The sequence below is a fragment of the Homo sapiens genome, chromosome 10, assembly GCF_000001405.40.
Source record: "Homo sapiens chromosome 10, GRCh38.p14 Primary Assembly".
NCBI classification, from domain to species: domain Eukaryota; kingdom Metazoa; phylum Chordata; class Mammalia; order Primates; family Hominidae; genus Homo; species Homo sapiens.
In genome coordinates this window covers 122,106,613-122,119,884 of record NC_000010.11, presented here as the reverse complement: position 1 = coordinate 122,119,884, position 13,272 = coordinate 122,106,613, and the positions used below count along the sequence as shown (strand labels likewise).

The window sequence follows — 13,272 nt, the reverse complement described above, 5'->3', positions numbered from 1 at the left end:
TACAGCAGCGCGATCTTGACTCACTGCAACCTCTGCCTCCCGGGTTTAAGCAATTCTCCTGCGTCAGCCTCCCGAGTAGCTGAGATGACGGGTGCATACCACCACACCCAGTCCAGCTAACATTTATATTTTCAGTAGGAACAGGGTTTTGCCATGTTGGCCAGGCTGGTCTTGAACTCCTGACCTTTGGTGATCCACCCGTCTTGGCCTCCCAACATGCTGGGATTACAGGAGTGAGCCACGATACCCAGCCTGATGTTCTTCTCAAAAGATGACAAATAAACTCAGCCAGATGCTGGGAGAAGCTATACAGTCAGGTGAGTGAAAGTGTAGCTGTCCTCCTGATCAAAACAGCACAAAGCCAGCTGAACGGACCAGCCCCTCTGGGATCAAGATCTCAGCTGAGGATGCCCAAAGCCAGTGCACCAAATCCACAGGTGCGCTGACTCACCAGAACACTGGGCACAGAAATCACATGGAGGGTCCAGGGGCTTAGGTGGGCAGGGGCAGCAAGTATAGTACAAAGAGCACAGACTCTGGACATAGATCTGAGCCTGAATCCAGCTCTGCCACTTACTCGCCATTTATAAGCCCTAGGCAAGTTCATTAACCTCTTTGAGCTTCAGTTTCTGAACCTGTAAAATGGAGATAAATGCATTACTTGAAAGACTGTTAAAAGAAATAAGAGGAAAAAATATATGTAGAAATAGAAAGTCTAATAGTGTTACCAGGGTCTGGGGAGAGAAGGGAAGAAGGGAAATTGTTGTTTAATGGATACAGTCGTTCAGATTGGCAAGATGAGTAAGTTCTGGAGATGTTTCACAATAATATGAATATACTTACCACCAAACTGTACACTTAAAAATGGTTATGATGGTACATCTTATGTGGTTTGTTTAATCACAATTTAAAAAACATGTAAAGCATAGCATCATCTCACTACAGGTCCTCAATACACAGTATGGGTTCATGGAAAATAGCACTAACAGAATGATATTAATAGCCTCTGCCACCAGATCTGTCTAGCTAACACTTAATTCAGGCCACAATCAGCTTCCTCTCTAACTTTTTCAGGCTGAGAACAGGCCACTCAGCCCACAAACAACAAACTGAAGTCTCAACAAATGCCACCAGTATTCTTATATAGATGAGGCAAAATTTTAGTTGGTGTTTAAAAAAATGTCACTCAGTCCTCAGCATCTTAGCAGAGTTACAGATTTTCCCTGATTCCAAAACCACACAAGCAGCAAAATTACCTCCATTTCCTCTCCCTGCAATGCAACCAGGTCTAGACCCTGAACAAAAAGCAAAGCCTTAGAGCCTATAGTTCAAGAGAGGAGACGATTCATTAACTGATTCAACAAGAACTGACGAAAATCTGTTCTGCCAAACACAATACAAGGTACTGAGGATGCAGAGAGCAATGACGCAGGGGTTGTTAGCCGTCAGAGAGAGACCTTGGCACACGGCTGACCACAAGACAACCTGGGAGTTCCAGAATGCAGAGTCCTGGGCCAGCTAAGTTGCTGGGATGAACCAGTTTCAGTCAAGGTAAGAAAGGTAACGTCCAGGCTGGGCGCGGTGGCTCACACCTGTAATCCCAGCACTTTGGGAGGCCGAGGCGGCCGGATGGCCTGAGGTCAGGAGTTCAAGACCAGCCCAGCCAACATGGTGAAACTCCAACTCTACTAAAAATACAAAAATTAGCCGGGCATGGTGGCACATGCCTGTAGTCCCAGCTACTTGGGAGGCTGAAGCAGGAGAACAGTTTGAACCCGGGGAAGCAGGGGTTGCCGTGAGCTGAGATGGCACCACTGCACTCCAGCCCGGACAACAGAGTAAGACTCCATCTCAAAAAAAAAAAAAAAAGAAAAAGAGAAAAACAAAGGTAATGTTCAATCTTTTCCTGTTCTGTGTGAAGCAGGGAGCCAGAAAGTAGGAGCCACAGCAAGCCCAAGGGATGGAGGGAGGGGTGTCCTGGGTATAAAAGGAGGAAGAAAAAAGATCCTATTGATGGCCATATGGCCTAGCTGCTTACTGTCTCTTGTCAATTTAGAATGTGCCCCACTGGGGGAACAGTCATGATATGAAACCAACCCCCCATGCCCTCAAGGAGCTTCAGTGCAAGAATGCTAGCCAGGAGCCTTCTATTCTAAATGATGCAGACACTAGAATAGCTCCTGGACCTCAGAGGACCAAGCGTGGACACAACCACAGAATGACAAGAATTAGCGGGACTGTAAATAACCTGAGATGAGCCAATGGGGCAGCTGCTTTCTCTTTCCATTTATTTCTCCCCAGGTCAGCAGACCTAACAAGAGCCCCATATTCGTGTGTTTGTACTTATTTTCTAGGCAAAATATAAATGAACAATTAAAAGAGAGGGTGGCAGCTGGGTGCGGTGGCTCACACCTGTAATCCCAGCATTTTGGGAGGCCGAGCTGGGCAGATAACTTGACAGCAGGAGTTCGAGACCAGCCTGGGAAACATGGCAAATCCCCGTCTCTACTAAAAATACAAAAAATTAGCCGGGCATGGTGGTGCACACCTGTAGTCCCAGCTGCTGTGGAGCTGAGGCAGGAGAATCACTTGAACCCAGGAGGCAGAGGTTGCAGTGGGCCGAGATCACGCCACTGCACTCCAGCCTGGTGACAGAGCGAGACTCTGTCTCAAAGAAAAAAAAAAAAAAAAAAGATTTCTAAGACCAGAGAGGTTGACCTCTCCCAGGAGCAGAGGAGAAACTGCGGCCCTGAGATTTGAGGGACTTGATTTAATGTTGTGAGCATGCTGATTTTGCTGCTGGTGGCAAAATTTGAATATATATGAAATACTGTAACAAATTTAAATCATTACAATAAAAGTATTAATGATAATAGCAGTCATAAGGGCCACTCACATTGTGAGCACTTCTGTTTGCCAGGTGTTGTGTGAAGGGCTTTGCACTCACTCACTCATGCAGCAAGACGGTCTCAAAAAAAAAAAAGAAAGAAAGGAGAGTGGCAAAGCAAGGTAGGATGAACAAAAAGGAAGCCGAGACAACCAGCTCATGGACGGCAGAGTCAATACACAGCTTCTAAATAAGGAAGAACTGCGTTTCATAGTATGTCTCCTGGTTTGCATTTAAAAACAACACTAATGCACACAGGCTACAGCAGGTGTTAGGAAATTGAGCTCCCCTAAATCAGTACTTTTAATCATAACCAGATGAAAAATATGAACACCACTGACTTTCCATTTGCACAGCCCTTTACAGTTTGTTTATCAAGTATATTCATGTGCATGACTTCACTGGCCTCCCCAGCTTCGAGAGCCAGGTGGGCAGGGATAAGCGGCCCCACCATCCACGAGAAGGAAGGTGACTCAGACAGTTCACAACGTCACGACTTGCTCAAGGTCACACAGCTGGTAAGGGGTAGGGCAAGAACTCCAATATAGGATCTTTGTCTATAAATTCTGGGCTTTCTCAATACTGCCCTTCCCCAACCTAAGGAAAATAAGTCTTGGGGACTTTGCTTTATCTCAATTAGCAGCCATGAATACACTTGCAAAGTGACAGACTGAAACTCTATAACACTGTGGATAGCGGACAGAGGGATGGGGACAGAGCTGACACTCAACACATCTGAAATGACACCTCCATTACAAAGGGTCGGCTGCTCTACATTCCCTGGAGAATTTCACTTGCTCCTCTGTTTTTCAGATGCATTGCTCTGCAAACTTTGGTTTCCCTGGGTCTTCCTTCTCAGGCCTCTCGTTTCTCCTGAATGATTTCATAATCCTCAACATGTTCTGTCATCGCAGGGAGTTGATGTGAACATGATTACTGGGGTTATGAACCAAGGACTGCGACCTCAATAGGGGAGAGGCAGAAAAAAAACACAGCTAGCCACCAAAATGGATTTCACAGACCTTGGTCACAAGGGGATAAATGAGGGCACCCAGCCCTGCAGCCATCTCTATGCTCCTCTAGCCAGCACTAGTTACTGATTTTATTGCCAGCTTCCTAAACCACCTCCTGATCATCTGTGCAAAAGTTGCAAGGACCTGCTAAACCCCAGCTACAGTAAATCCAAGAACGCTTCGCTTTTGGCTATGGAACCAAGTCCTGAAAAAAAAAAATACACCCACACATGCATGTACACATATGCACATACACACACACAGGTGCTCCCCATCAAGCCCTCATTCTCTTCCAGTCTCATCTACGCTTACAGCCCAGAGCTGGGCAAGCCCAGAGACCCTTTCTTTCATCCTCCCAATTAGAACTGTCTCTCATGATTCCTCAAAGCCTGGCAGCATCCTCTATTGAGATGCTATTGGCATTGGGGTGAGGCAATTCTCTGCTGTGCAGGACTCTCACATGAGAGTGACCCTAGCCCTCCCCCACTAGACGCCAATAGCATCCTCCCCAGTCACTGGGACAACCAAAAATATCCTCCTAATAGCAGTTCCCTCCCTAGTCACTGGAACAACCAAAAATATCCTCCCACATTTCCAGACATCCCCTCCTGGGGCATTATCCTTCACCACAAAGCCTGCCCCATATGTGCATGCTCAGGTATCTCACACACACACACACACACACACACACACACACACACACACACACACACTCACCTACCTACCTCCTTGAAGGTGGGGGCTGTGTCATTCAATTCAACCACCATCTACCTCCCAGGCTCTGTGTTACTCTTGTGGCGTGGCATTGTGAACCAGACATATCCTTCCTCAAGCAGTGTCTGTCTCCATAAAAGCATCAAACACAAATAACCAGGATACAAAGCCGAATAAAACCAACGAGGCCGCAGGACTTGGCGCAGAGAACACCAGGGCAAGTGTCTGCGGTCTGGGGTTGGAGTCCTACCTTGATGTGTGGCCCTGGCCAAGACCCTGGACTTCTTTGAGTCTCTCTTTTCGTATCTGTAAAACGAAACCTTGATCTTTAACTTTCCTTCTTGCTAAAATATTTTAAATGTTCAAGCACGTTTCTTGAACATTATTTTTTTAAGAGAGAAAAGAGGACGGCTGGAACGGAGAGACAAGGGGCTAATCCTGTCTAGGTTCCACAGAGGCGGCAGCATTTGACCTGAAGATTTCCATAAGGCAGTTCCATAACACCGGTATATGAATAACTATAATACAAGCAGGTCATATTCCATGATCACACTTCTGAGGCTTGGGATGTAACTTTTGATGAGAGACTAGTGACTCTGGGTAGCTGAGTTGCTGTGGCATTTGCACAAGGAGGGTGGCTGCTGGCCTATTTGCTGCTCCGATTTCCTTCCCGGAGAATTAGTCCCAGGCAGAGCCTGTGAGAAAGAGCCCCGTGGGAATCCACTCACCCGCCTGGCTCAACTGGTCCCATTCTCAGGAGGCCCTCCCGCCTGGCCTGAGAAGGGAAAGCCAGCTGCTCCGGGAGGGAACTCACTGTGCAATTTTCAACAAAACCCTTCCTCTAAGTTCCATCAACTGTCAACCCTAAAAACACTGCTTAAGATTCAACTGTTAATCTGCACGTGCATCTCACAGACCAAACACTGCCTCACGTCACAGTCCCGGAAAAAAAGTCATTTCCAGATATCATGGAAACGGCTTTTAAAATGTGGCCTCAATAAGGAATCAGAGAAGTAAGAATGGGGAGAGTTCTCTCCGGTAACAGAGCCGCACCTTCCTCTGGCATAGCACAGGAAACTGCCCTAGGATCCTCAATGTCCCACGTCCTGTGACACGAGGGCCCCCCATCCTCTCCAGCCGCCCCTCCTTAGGCCCCGCTTCCATTTCCCCTCCACAATGTCTATTTCAGCTGTATTTCAACCCGCTATCACATTCTCCTGTCCCAGCATTTGACAGAGCCTGAAGATAGCAACAACAGTAACAGTGATGATGATGAAGCCATTTTAAGAAAAGACCAGGATTGAAGAGGACACCTGGCCACAGCGTGGTGTATTCGGCGCTCGGAGCCTGGGCAGCAAATCCCAGCGCCCCGACACTGGATTTCGAGGACACCCCGAGGCAGAGGCGCACTCTGCGGCGGGAGCCAAGGACGCGGAGGGGACGCTCGGGCGGGTCACGTGTTGCGCCGGATCCCCGAAGTGCGCTCGGCCCTGCTGACGTAACTATTCGAGAATTTAAAAGTCCCAAACTCGGAGGAAATCCAGCGCAGAGTTTTATGGCTAGTCCACGCGCCGTCGTGGCCCGCCGGGGATGCCCCCACGCGACCCAGTAGGACCACACGAGCTGGGAAAGAGCCCGGTGGGAAGGCGCGGAGGCCCCCAAGGGCGGGACCCCAACCCTGGCAGGGAGCCTGGTCACGGGCGCCAACCACAACCACGCGCGGGGACCCCAACCGCGAGCGGGAATCCCAGCCACTGGCGCGCGCCCCGAACCACGGGCTTTGACCCCCGCGCTCCCACTCAAGGGAACCAGGCTCCTGGGCAGACACTCTGGGGCCCGCGGTTTCCCCGCAGCCACACTCCTCTGCCAGCAGGGGACCGAATGTGCAGTTAGCCACTTTTCCACCCTCGGCCAGTCCCTGCCGGGGAAAGCCGAAATGAGCTTTGGCCACTTCCAGTACGCCTTTGTCTGGGGGCCAAGGTCCTTCGGGCGCCCATCTTCTGACCCCGGCCGCCCGCCCGTGGCCCCGGCACTTACCCGCCCGGGGAGATAGGGGATGGCCCGCACGGAGCCGCCTTCGTTCGGAGTCGCAACTGCCAAAGAGCCCGGGGGCGCTGGGTTTTCCGAGCCCGGTGGCGGCGCGGCGCGTGGGGTCACCACGGTCCGGTGCGGCCCTGGGACGCAAAGTTTCCCGGGACAACGGCGCAGGGCCGGCGTGGCTCCCCGAAAGGCTCGGGAAAAGTTGCAGCACAAAAGGCCAATGACTGGGCGAGCGGCGGCTGCCGGGCCAGGCTCCTCCCCCAGCTCTGGGCTCTCCGACCCGGGGCAGCGCTCGGCCAGCTGCTCGCGCAGGGCGCCCGCCGCGCTCTCCTCCCCGGCCAGGAATGCGCGGGGCCGGGCGCGCCCAGACGCACCGAGGGGCCCGCGGCCGCAGAGCGGCAGGCGAGAGACGCACGGACCGATGGACGCACAGCCCGGCCGCTGCTCCTGGAGGCGCTGCAGACTTCCAGGAGTCTCTGAGTCATGACAACTTGTTACTGTTCTTAGTTTGTCCACGGCCTTCCCACTACGCATGGCAACGCCGGGAAGGCTGTGGCGTGAGAACGGACTGGGAAGGTCAAGTACCGGCCAGGCGGCCCGCGCTTCCTCTGCGGGGCCGTTGCCCGCCTGAGGCTACCCAGGAGCCTCAGAAAGAAGCTGGGGGTGAAATGGTGCCTCGCTTGTTCCTGGAGCCAAATTCCGGCCCTTTTTTCTTCACCTGTGTGGTATTAATGGCGCTTAACCACAGAAACAGCGCGGGCTGTGCTGGACAGTTTGCAAAACTTGACGTGCGTTCTATTTGGCTGTTGCACACTCTGAAGTCGGCAGAGGCTAAATCCAAACCAATTCCAGCTGCCATATTTCTAGGAGTTATGTATCTATTGGCATGTGAGGTCTGTTTTCCTTTAAGGGCCTAACTAACTCCTTCACTGACATGGACCTCACACCCAGAAGTGGTGCTTACCTGCCAACACCATGGCATATCACCTTTTCTCTAGAAATTTCTGCAGCTAGGCCCCAATCATGAAGAGCCCGTGACTATATATAGACAGCAGGCTTCCCATTTTTAGTGTCACAGAAAGCACTGCTATAGATTATATACTCAGGGACCAAAGGGCATGAGACTCAGAAATTACTCAGCACTTCCTTTCCTCCTCTTAAAGAAACAGATCTTACGAGCCCCTAATGAGGATTCTCTGTAGAATAAAGAAATAGACTGTTACTGCCTTCTGCGAAAATATTGTTTTTTAAATAACGCAGTGCTTCTAAGAGTCACATTTTTTATGGAAACTTAAATAGATTCCTTGTTCACATGCTTATCACAGGTTTCCTCGTATCGTATTAATGTGTCCATTTTACAAGTATGATAACTGAGACCCAAATAGGCTAGTTTAAATGTATACCATCTGCTGTCGGTGAAGAGAGAATGGAAATGCCCAGTCTTCAAGGTTCTTGTGCCCTATAATCCCAGCACTTTGGGAGGCCGAGGTGGACAGATCACGAGGTCAGGAGATTGAGACCATCCTGGCCAACATGGTGAAACCCCGTCTCTACTAAAAATACAAAAAAAAAAATAGCTGGGCATGATGGTGTGTGCCTGTAATCCCAGCTACTCGGGAGGCTGAGGCAGGAGAATAGCTTAAACCAGGGAGTCGGAGGTTGCAGTGAGCCGAGGTTGCACCACCGCACTCCAGCCTGGCGACAGAGCGAGACTCCGTCTCAAACAAAAACAAAAGGTTCTTGTGCCCTGTGGGTCATATCCATTTGTGGTAAAAACATACACCACTCACCACCATGTAAGCTCCAGCACCTCAACTGGGCAACGAGCTAAGATGAACTTGAGGTGCCATCCCGTTCATGTGAAACAGCCCCTCCCAGTTGACAGATGCACATCCTTCAAGACAGAGGAAGGTGCCACTCTGTTTCGAAATCTACTGGTAGGTCTGTATGGTTGGCAAAAGGAAGGCCCCGGCAAGATGGCCACATCTTCATCCCTGGAGTTGTGAATATGTTAAGTTACATGACAAGGGGAATGAAGGTTGTAGATGGAATTAAAGTTGCTAATCACCTGACTTTAAAGTAGGGAGGCTATCCTGGAGTATCCAGGTGGACCCAATGTCATCATGAAGGTCCTTTAATTGGAAGGAGGAGGAAGAAGAGAGTCAGAGAAAGAGATGTGGCTATGGAAGCACAGTGAGCGAGAGATTAGAAGATGCTGACTTTGAAGATGAAGGAAGGGACCACGAGCCAGGGAATGTGAGTGGCTTCTAGAAGCTGGAAAAAGCACGAATGTGGATTTTTCCTCGAGGGCTTCCAGAAAGGAACACAACACTACCGAAACCTTGATTTTACCTCAGTGAGACCCATGTTAGACATTTCACCTACACAGCTCCTAGTAAAATAAATTTGTGTTGTCTTAAGCCAAAATTACTAGTTTTGTGGTAATTTATTATGGCAATCACAGGAAACTAATGCAGTAGGTACCTGGTTATTACTGTGACTTAATCCCTTCTTTGAAGGATTTTAAGAAGATAGCTAGGATTTCATTCACATCTCCAGAGTCTAAGGTCATTCACTGCAGGAGAACCACTCTGGTCGAGGAAGGCTGACCTCGGCACCTCTGTGAGGAATGACTGAACTCAGGCAGTGCAGTGGTCTTGGGCAGCCAGCATTCGGACACAGCCATAGTCCCATGTAGGACCAACTCATTAGAAGATGAAGTCAGGGGCTCCTAATATCATACAGTACTGAGCCTCAAATCCTGCCACACGACAGAAATACGTCGATATCAGAAACTCTCGGCCAACCCACACATCTCTGATCCTAGCCACGACCAGAAATCTTGCCTGGATAGTGAACCTAGAGCTACAGTAAATGTGCACTGCCATCCCCTCCTGCTCCAAGTCAGGGTAACAATGCAGTAATGGTACAGAGGAGGAAAGATGCAGGCTTGTGCGGTCTTGGGATACCTGGAATCTACTGAAGACTGACTTGCAGGCAGCAACACGTGCCTTAGAAATTGCATCCATGGCTGAATCTTTACTTCCCAAGGATTCTTTTTGCCTGAGTACCAGGCTATGGTTCTGCATCAGGGTGGTCTATATATGTGTTTACAGCAAGGCCCTAGTACAGTAGCTGCTAAACTATCTTCTGCAGAGTCCTAGGGTTTCTGGAGTTATCTTAAAGGCATCCATAGCACCTGCAAAGAGAGCTGTTTGACTTTTGTCATATCTTTAAGTTCTACATAAGATTTTGTTTGGAGAAGAGGTTCATTCGGAGGGAAGGGGAAAAAAAGAAAATGTGAAAACACACTAATTTTATAGAGAACTTATGCTGAAACCCAAAGAAGGAGATGGACTTACCCAGGGTCAAAGGCGGCATAGCGACAGAGCAAGCCCCTGGAATGCAGACTTTAAAAAACTTAAGTGGAGAGAACCGGATAAGGCACCCTATGTATAACACCCAGATCCAACATGATCAAATTATGGCTAATTCCATTTTATCCACAATCCCACTTTCCCTCTGCTACCCAGATTGTTTTGAAGCAAATGCCAGATAGCATCACTGCATCAGTTAATATTTCTGTCTGAATCTCTAAAGGCAAGAGCTGGAAAGGGAATTTCTGAAGTCAAAGTCTTCATTCTTCTTGGGCCCCCAGCCTCTGCTCAACAGGACTAGCATTGCTGAAGGGACATCTATGACATGAAAATATCAATAGGAGACAACCACGAACCCCAGGCTGTGGGACTGAAACTCAGTGCCAATAAGACTCACCGGGTTAATGTTAAAATGCAAATTCCTGGGCCTGGCTCCCGGGCATTCTGATTCAGTACGTCAGGAAAGGGGTTCAGAAATGTGCATTTTATCAGGGAAATGCAAATCAAAACCACCTCATTCCTGCAAGAATGTACTCTCAAAAAATTAAAAAATAATAGATGCTTGTGTGGATAAGATGAAAAGGGAACACTTTGAATGTAAACCAGTACAACCACTATACAAAACAGTGTAGAGACTCCTTAAAGAAGATCTACCATTCGATCCAGCAATCCCACTCCTGGCTATCTACCCAGAGGAAAAGAAGTCATTACATGAAAAAAGATACTTGTACATGCATGTTTACAGCAGCACAATTTGCAACTGAAAAAATATGAAACCAGCTCAAATGCCCATCAATTAACAAGTGGATAAAGAAAATGTAGGCCAGGCGCCATGGCTCATGCCTGTAATCCCAGCACTCTGGGAGGCCGAGGTGGGCGGATCACGAGGTCAGGAGTTTGAGACCAACCTGGCCAACGTGGTGAAACCCCATCTCTACTAAAAATACAAAAAATTAGCCAGGCGTGGTGGCGCGTGCCTATAATCGCAGCTACTCGGGAGGCTGAGGTAGGAGAATCACTTGAACCCGGGAGGCAGAGGCTGCAGTGAGCCGGGATCGCACCATTGCACTCCAGCCTGGTGACGCAGCGAGACTCAAGAAAAGAAAAAAAGAAGACCGGGCGATGGCTCACACCTGTAATCCCAGCACTTTGGGAGGCCGAAGCAGGTGGATCATGAGTCAAGAGATTGAGAACATCCTGGCCAACATGGTGAAACCTCGTCTCTACTAAACATACAAAAATTAGCTGGGCATGGTGGCACGTGCCTGTAATCCCAGCTACTCAGGAGGCTGAGGTAGGAGAATCACTTGAACCTGGGAGGCAGAGGTTGCAGTGAGCCAAGATCGCACCATTGCACTCCACCCTGGGTGACAAGACTAGAACTCCATCTCAAAAAAAAAAAAAAAAAAAAGAAAATATGACATACACATATATATATACACACACACACATAGAGAGAGAGAGAAAGAGAGAGCGCGCGCGCATGGAATACTACTCAGCCATAAAAAGGAATAAAATAATGGCATTTGCAGCAACATGGATGGAATTGGAGACCATTATTCTAAGTGAAGTAACTCAGAAATGAAAAACAAAACATTGTATGTTCTCATTCATAAGTGGGAGCTAAGCTATGTGGACACAAAGGCATAAGAATTATATAATTGGCCGGGCACAGTGGCTCACGCCTGTAATCTCAGCACTTTGGGAGGCTGAGGCGGGTGGATCACGAGGTCAGGAGATCGAGACCATCCTGGCTAACATGGTGAAACCCCATCTCTACTAAAAATACAAAAAATTAGCCGGGCGTGGTGGTGGGTGCCTGTAGTCCCAGCTACTCGGGAGGCTGAGGAGGGAGAATGGCGTGAACCCAGGAGGCGGAGCTTGCAGTGAGCCAAGATCGCACCACTGCACTCCAGTCTGGGCAACAGTGAGACTCCGTCTCAAAAAAAAAAAAAGAAAAAAGAAAAAAAAAATATATATATATATATATAATGGACTTTGGGGTCTTGGGGGAAAGGGTGGGAGGGGGGTGAGGGATATAGACTACACACTGGGTACGGTGTACACTGCTTAGGTGGCAGGGGCACCAAAATCTCAGAAATCACCACTAAAGAACTTATGCATGTAACCAAACACCACCTGCTCCCCAAAAACCTATTGAAATATATATATATATATGTTTTAAAAAAGAAATGTGCATTCTAGCAAGCATATTTTAAATAATTCTTTTTTAAAAAATTATTATTATTATTTTGTTTGTTTGAGACAGAATCTTCTCATTTTCTCACCCAGGGTGGAGTGCAACAGTGTGATCTGGGCTCACTGCAACCTCCGCCTCCCAGGTTCAAGCGATTCTCCTTTCTCAGCCTCCCAAGTAGCTGGGATTACAGGCACCTGACACCACACCTGGCTAATTTTTGTATTTTTAGTAGAGACGGGGTTTCACCATGTTGGCCAGGCTGGTCTCGAACTCCTGACCTCAAGTGATCCACCTGCCTCGGCCTCCCAAAGTGCTGGGATTAGACGTGTGACCTCAAGTGATCCACGCGCCTCGGCCTCCCAAAGTGCTGGGATTAGAAGCATGAGCCACCGCACCCAGCCTGTAGATAATTCTGATGGAGATGCTTTTCAGAGCACACTTGGAGAAATTGAATCGAAGTTTTATGGCCAGCATTATTGGTTGCTTTCAAAACTGCTGTTCTTCCTCCTTGTTTCCTTACTTTTGTTTAAATAATTGGGTTAGGCATGGTCCTGTTACACACCCTTGGCCAATGAAACAGAAGAGAAAATCAGCAGGCCTTCTGGAGATAGTTTTCTCACTCTTTGGAAGAGACACAAGACAGCATGGCTCCTGACCATCAGGGGTCTTCCTGCCTCTTGACATTGTCATGCGAGGGCGCAGTGCCTGGAGCTGCTGCAGCCAGCTTGAAACGATGAGGGGAGCATCTGGCCACACACTGAATGTGGGTAGAGAGGAAAATGAAAAGGGCCTGGGTCTTTCCTCAATGATGTCGCTGAACTAATGAATTACACAACCTTGGACTTCCTGCTGGTGCAATGATAAACCTATGATTGTTGAAGCTTTCTTGTATTGGGTGGTCTGTTACTTGTAGCCAAAAGCATCTTCAAAGGGCTGTCAACTGTGGTGCTGAGAAGCACTCATATGGTAGATACTAAACCTAAGGCTTCAGAAAGGAATGAAAGACCACAAAGCACATCATCATTTGCCAAAGGAGTCCTG

General features: G+C 48.6%; 1 protein-coding gene across 50 annotated transcripts in view; it reads right to left on the bottom strand.

Annotated features, from left to right (window-relative positions):
• The window catches only part of TACC2 (transforming acidic coiled-coil containing protein 2), a 265,380-nt gene that overhangs the window by 134,658 nt on the left and 117,450 nt on the right, over positions 1-13,272 (bottom strand). For 2 of the 50 annotated variants that reach the window (XM_047424466.1, NM_001291879.2), the window contains exon 1: positions 6,652-7,000. The exons of the other annotated variants lie outside the window; for them this stretch is intronic. The gene's annotated coding sequence lies outside the window, so the exon portion shown is untranslated. Of the gene's footprint in view, positions 1-6,651; positions 7,001-13,272 lie in introns of those variants that run through there. 50 annotated transcript variants of the gene reach the window in all.